The sequence below is a fragment of the Homo sapiens genome, chromosome 7, assembly GCF_000001405.40.
Source record: "Homo sapiens chromosome 7, GRCh38.p14 Primary Assembly".
Classification (NCBI taxonomy): Eukaryota; Metazoa; Chordata; class Mammalia; order Primates; family Hominidae; genus Homo; species Homo sapiens.
In genome coordinates this window covers 54,289,649-54,296,860 of record NC_000007.14, presented here as the reverse complement: position 1 = coordinate 54,296,860, position 7,212 = coordinate 54,289,649, and the positions used below count along the sequence as shown (strand labels likewise).

Sequence of the window (7,212 nt, the reverse complement as noted above, 5' to 3'; positions counted from 1 at the left end):
TAAGTATATTTCTATATTGTAGATAATTATTGGCTTTTTGTTCCGTAATTGTCAGACAGTATACATAGTATGTCTATTAGCATATACAGTTATATTGGAACACTTATTTTATTTGCATAACATATAGGATATGTACATCTTAAAACAAATCTGGGATCTCAATTATAATTTTTTTATCCAAATGATTACAATTCATAACAAACTACTTTTTTCCTTCAATTTTTTCACGTAAATAAAACCTAGGTTATGGCTATATAAAAATATAGTAGATTGCCCAGATAATAATAGAGTAAAATACTAATTCTGCTTCTTTTCGTTCTCTCAAACTAATCACATGCAACAAAGATCACAAGAATCAGTAAACTCCTTTTACTCTGGAACTAGGAAACATTCATAAGCAGAATTCCATTTATAAGAGAGCTCTGACAAGTGCTTTGGAAATAGGCTAAATTGCAGAAATGCTGAGAGAAGACAGAAGCCTCCTGGGTCACAGACAGACTAGGCAGAGTGCAGTTTCCACATGCAGTGGGAATGCTCTGTGAGGCAGGATCAGTGACCCCCCACACCTCGAAGTTGCACTCATGTGGATAAGTGACAGGAGCTGCCTGAACCTCCTGTGCCATTGCTGATAGATGGATGTGTTAGCAGACACCATAAATGAAGAGCTTTATAAGTGCAATATTAAATTCTGGCAAGAGTGGCTTGAGGTTAGTCCTTCCATACACTTGAATTCTGAATAAACTATTCTAGTAAAGTGCAATTTGGTGAGGACTGAACTCTGATCATTTTTTCTCGCTCAAATTCCTTTCTAAGGGACCTGGGGAGTCACGTCTTACATACCATAAAATCTCATTAAGCAGGTTTTTGTTGTTATTGTTGTTTGTTTGTTTGTTTTTTTTGACTTGGAATATTGTGGACGACTTTTCAACCTGACTCTGCTATGGCAGCACATGACAGATAGCAGACTCCCTTTACTCAGCTTACGCATTCCTTTCTACTGAGCCCAAGTTTGTTTTTTTTTTTTAATTATACTTTAAGTTTTAGGGTACATGTGCACAACGTGCAGACCTGTTACATATGTATACATGTGCAAAGTTGGTGTGCTGCACCTATTAACTAGTCATTTAGCATTAGGTATATCTCCTAATGCTATCCCACCCCCCTCCCCCCAACCCACAACAGTCCCCGGTGTGTGATATATCCCCTTCCTGTGTCCATGTGTTCTTATTGTTCAATTCCCGCCTATGAGTGAGAACATGCGGTGTTTGGTTTTTTGTCCTTGCGATAGTTGGCTGAGAATAATGGTTTCCAGTTTCATCCATCTCCCTACAAAGGACATGAACTTATCCTTTTTTATGGCTGCATAGTATTCCATGGTGTATATGTGCCACATTTTCTTAATCCAGTCTATTGTTGTTGGACATTTAGGTTGGTTCCAAGTCTTTGCTATTGTGAATAGTGCCGCAATACACATACATGTGCATGTGTCTTTATAGAAGCATGATTTATAATCATTTGGGTATATACCCAGTAATGGGATGGCTGGGTCAAATGGTATTTCTAGTTCTAGATCCCTGAGGAATCGTCACACTGACTTCTACAATGGTTAAACTAGTTTACAGTCCCACCAACAGTGTAAAAGTGTTCCTATTTCTCCACATCCTCTCCAGCACCTGTTGTTTCCTGACTTTTTAATGATTGCCATTCTAACTGGTGTGAGATGGTATCTCATTGTGGTTTTGATTTGCATTTCTCTGATGGCCAGTGATGATGAGCATTTTTTCATGTGTTTTTTGGCTGCATAAATGTCTTCTTTTGAGAAGTGTCTGTTCATATCTTTTGCCCACTTTTTGATGGGTTTTTTTTTTTTTCTTGTAAATTTGTTTGAGTTCATTGTAGATTCTGGATATTAGCCCTTTGTCAGATGAGTAGGTTGCAAAAATTTTCTCCCATTCTGTAGGTTGCCTGTTCACTCTGATGGTAGTTTCTTTTGCTGTGCAGAAGCTCTTTAGTTTAATTAGATCCCATTTGTCAATTTTGGCTTTTGTTGCCATTGCTTTTGGTGTTTTAGACATGAAGTCCTTGCCCATGCCTATGTCCTGAATGGTATTGCCTAGGTTTTCTTCTAGGGTTTTTACGGTTTTAAGTGTAACATTTAAGTCTTTAATCCATCTTGAATTAATTTTTGTATAAGGTGTAAGGAAGGGATCCAGTTTCAGCTTTCTACATATGGCTAGCCAGTTTTCCCAGCACCATTTATTAAATAGGGAATCCTTTCCCCATTGCTTGTTTTTCTCAGGTTTGTCAAAGATCAGATAGTTGTAGACATGCGGCATAATTTCTGAGGGCTCTGTTCTGTTCCATTGATCTATATCTCTGTTTTGGTACCAGTACCATGCTGTTTTGGTTACTGTAGCCTTGTAGTGTAGTTTGAAGTCAGGTAGCGTGATGCCTCCAGCATTGTTCTTTTGGCTTAGGATTGACTTGGTGATGCGGGCTCTTTTTTGGATCCATATGAACTTTAAAGTAGTTTTTTCCAATTCTGTGAAGAAAGTCATTGGTAGCTTGATGGGGATGGCATTGAATCTATAAATTACCTTGGGCAGTATGGCCATTTTCACGATATTGATTCTTCCTACCCATGAGCATGGAATGTTCTTCCATTTGTTTGTGTCCTCTTTTATTTCATTGAGCAGTGGTTTGTAGCTCTCCTTGAAGAGGTCCTTCACATCCCTTGTAAGTTGGATTCCCAGGTATTACATTCTCTTTGAAGCAGCTGTGAATGGGGGTTCACTCATGATTTGGCTCTCTGTTTGTCTGTTATTGGTGTATAAGAATGCTTGTGATTTTTGTGCATTGATTTTGTATCCTGAGACTTTGCTGAAGTTGCCTATCAGCTTGAGGAGATTTTGGGCTGAGATGATGGGGTTTTCTAGATACACAATCATGTCATCTGCAAACAGGGACGATTTGACTTCCTCTTTTCCTAATTGAATACCCTTTATTTCCTTCTCCTGCCTGATTGCCCTGGCCAGAACTTCCAACACTATGTTGAATAGGAGTGGTGAGAGGGGGCATCCCTGTCTTGTGCCCGTTTTCAAAGGGAATGCTTCCAGTTTTTGCCCATTCAGTATGATATTGGCTGTGGGTTTGTCATAGATAGCTCTTATTATTTTGAGATATGACCCATCAATACCTAATTTATTGAGAGTTTTTAGCATGAAGGGTTGTTGAATTTTGTTGAAGGCCTTTTCTTTATCTGTTGAGATAATCACGTGTTTTTTGTCTTTGGTTCTGTTTATATGCTGGATTACATTTATTGATTTGTGTATGTTGAACCAGCCTTGCATCCCAGGGATGAAGCCCACTTGATCATGGTGGATAAGCTGTTTGATGTGCTGCTGGATTCGGTTTGCCAGTATTTTATTGAGGATTTTTGTGTTGATGTTCATCAAGGATATTGGTCTAAAATTCTCTTTTTTGGTTGTGTCTCTGCCAGACTTTGGTATCAGGATGATGCTGGCCTCATAAAATGCGTTAGGGTGGATTCCCTCTTTTTCTATTGCTTGGAATAGTTTCAGAAGGAATGGTACCAAGTCTTTAGACAAAGCTGAACTCTTTCAACCAATTGCCAAATAAGAATTCTAAAACCCACCTATGACTTGTAAATTCCCACTTCAAGATGTCCCACCTTTTCAAGTTGAACCAATGTATACCTTCCATATATTGATTTATGATTTTGCCTGCAAATCCCATCTCCCTGAAATGTATAAAACTAAACTGTAACCCCACCACTTGGGTGCTCTTTCTTAGGACCTCTTGAGACTGTGTTACCTGAGCCACAGTCACTCATATTGGCTCAGAGTAAAAATCTTAAAATATTTTGGCAGAATTTGGTTTTTCCTTCGTCATTGGCAATCTGACCTTAAAATGTGAATCCAGCTGAGGATACGCACTGGGTATTCTCATTTTGTTCATTTTGCTCCAGTCTCTATCCTTTACCCCAAGCCCAGCCCTGGGAGGCTGACTTCTGTATGCTGTGTTCTCCCTTCTTGCTTCCAGTTGAATTTGGTCAGCAGCAACATAGGCAGAAAGATTAGAACGTGAGAGAAAATTAAAGCTGCGCTCCTCCGGGGAAAGGGAAGCACCCGGGTCAGCTATGCGGTTTGTGTGCCTTGTGTGAGAATGTTTAAAGGATACCTCCTCCCTCCAAGTGGAATTATTTGATGGTGTTTTCTCCCCACTTTGCCAAATTATAAGCAAGTAGTTCTTAAGAAATATAAACATATTGATACAAAATCTGCTTTTGAACAAATTGTTTTTGAAAATCTTAAAAAATCTTAAAAAATGTGGAAAACATGCTTTTACCTTCAACCTGTTTACAAGTTGCTTTTGTAATGTAAAGCAGCACAACTAAGCGGCTTGTGTTTGAGACAGCTGAAGCACTGACAAGGATCTGTGAGAAGACTCCAGGGGGCTCCTTAGCCAAGTTTCAGCACAAAGGCTTCATGACCATCACCGAATGCTGACAAAGCATCAGTCTCAGTACATCTCACAGAGAATAGAGTTTTCAGTGGCTCATCACACAGACTGGAAGAAATTCCAAACCCTTCCTGCAGACTAGAGAAAAATGTTATACAATGAATGCATGTATCAAAACATCAAATTGTACCACATAAATGTGTACAATTACAAAGTATCAATTCAAAAAACTAAAAAAGAATAAAGAAATGTTGTTAACAGAGGTCAGTGGAACACAGCTGAGGTCAGCAGCTGGGGCAGTGAAAGACTGATTTCCCTGACAGCATAGTGTTATCACCTATCCTCATTTCCTTCCGTCTCCCTTATTAGCTCACTCCATGCTTATCAAGAACATAGTCATTGTACTAACGAAGAGTGTATGTTATTAGCAACATAGCTATGTATTGCCTATATTTTACAGCCCAAAGCCAAGGATTTTACATTTAATTTTGCAAAAATAATAAAAATAAAACAGTCAAAGAGAAATTTGGTTTCAGACCAGGTGTGGTGGCCCGCATCTGTAATCCCAACATTTTGGGAGGCTGAGGCGGGAGGATCACTTGAGCCCAGGAGTTTGAGACCAGTTTGGAAAACACAGAGAGTTCTCACCTCTATAATATTTATAAATAAGTAAATAAATTTGGTTCAACATCCAAATAAGGTGCATAAAGTTAAATTCATAATATAATTTTATTTTTTTTTGAGACGGAGTCTCACTCTGTCACCCAGGCTGGAGTGCAGTGGCGTGATCTCGGCTCACTGCAAGCTCCTCCTTCCGGGTTCACGCCATTCTCCTGCCTCAGCTTCCTGAGTACAAAATTTTATTTTTAAATGACTTTTTAATTACATAATTAACATATGAAGAGACACAAGCAAATAAGCACAAAATCCGTTACAGAGGATGATTAATTCTCTCTGTTGGCTTCCAATCTAATTCCAGTTCCATATTTATTTTCTGGAGCTGATCATATATGTTAGTTTCATGTGATACATTTAGACACATATCTATGCGTATGTGTACTGATATAAATATATGTTACTGTGTTTAGGTGTCTTTTTAAAGGATATATTATATGTTGTAACATATACATATTTTTTATAATATATCTTGGGAAGCTATCCAAGGAACTTTATATGGATCTAGCTATCTATTGTCAACTGTGAAAAAGTATTCCATAGTACAAATATAGCAAAATTTAATAGCCAAAAATTAGTATTTAGCATACATTGTATATTTTGAGTACATATGTATATACATACACACAAATGTATTCTCAAAATATTTCATTTGTTTTGAATTTTGTGAAGTCCTTGTTCCATAAATTTGTTGTTTAATTTAGGTAAGTTAATAATAATAATTCATTTTCATTATGGCATTTTTGCTATTTGAGAAAGACTGTTCCTACCCCCAAGATTCTATATCTATGTGCTATGTAAATTGCATTTTTTGTTTCATTCATTGTATTCTTCAGTATTTAAATTATATAAATACTTTCTATACATTAATATAAATAATTAACAATGGAGCTACAAAAAATTAAAAATAATAATAAACATAAATGATCAATTTATATAAATCTCAACCTCATTAGAAAGTAGGATAAAAATTAGAACAACAAAGAAATAATAGTTTTCATTGATAAAAACAAGACACTTTAAACTTTGATCATATTAAGTTTTGATTTACGAGAGATTAAACTCATACAACCTCTCTCAAGAGCAATTTAGAAGTAATAAATTATTTTTCTCTGCAATATAATTTCTAGTTTGATACCTAGAAATATAACTACACAAAAAAGCACAAACAATGCTATTTAACAATTTTTAATAGCCAAATTTTAGAAGCAATGTAATACTTTTAACAAGAGAATGTTAAACCTCTTGTGTGATTATACAGTATTTGTCTTTCTGTGACTAACTTATTTCACTTACCATAATGTTCTCTGGGTTCATCCATATTGATACAATGGCAGAATTTTCTTCTTATGTCATATTTTCTTTAACCATTCATCAGTGGATATTTAAGTTGTTGCCATATCTTGGCTATTATGAAAAATACCACAATGAACATGGAAGTTCAGGTATCTCTTTAAGATAATGAATTTACTTCCTTTGGATAAATATCCAAACTGGGGTTACCAGATTATGCGGTGATCCTGTTTTTAATTTTTTGTGTAGCCTTCTTATTGTTTCCATAATGGCTTTACACATTTACATTCCTGTCAACAGCATTTAAGAGTTCTTCTTCATATCCTTGTTAACAGTTGTTGTCTTTCATAAAAATATTTTTATTTTTGATACATTACATTTGTATGTATCTATGGGGTACATGTGAAATTTTGTTACATGCATCGAATGTGCAATGATAAAGTCAGGGTATTTAGGGCATCAATCACCTGATTATTTATCATTTCTATGTGTTGGGAACATTTCAAGACCCCTCTTCTAGCTATTTAGAAAAATGCATCGTTGCTAACTACAGTTACCCTACTCTGCTATCAAACATTAAAACTTATTCGTTTTATCCAACTATGTTTGTACCCATAAACCAACTGCTCTTCATCACCCCTCCCTTCAAAACCATACACCTCTCCCAGCCTCTGGTATCTATCATTCTACTCTCCACCTCCAAGGGATCGTTTTTTTATTTCCCACATATGAATGAGAACATGGGATATTTGTTTGTCTGTG

The 7,212-nt window shown here is 36.4% G+C and overlaps 1 annotated feature.

Annotated features, from left to right (window-relative positions):
• Positions 4,175-4,885: an enhancer, noted in NCBI's record as "OCT4-NANOG hESC enhancer chr7:54359669-54360379 (GRCh37/hg19 assembly coordinates)". NCBI's record gives its function as "activates a minimal SCP1, AML or CMV promoter by ChIP-STARR-seq in naive H9 embryonic stem cells {active_cell/tissue: H9 hESC(naive)}" and the evidence as "EXISTENCE:reporter gene assay evidence [ECO:0000049][PMID:30033119]".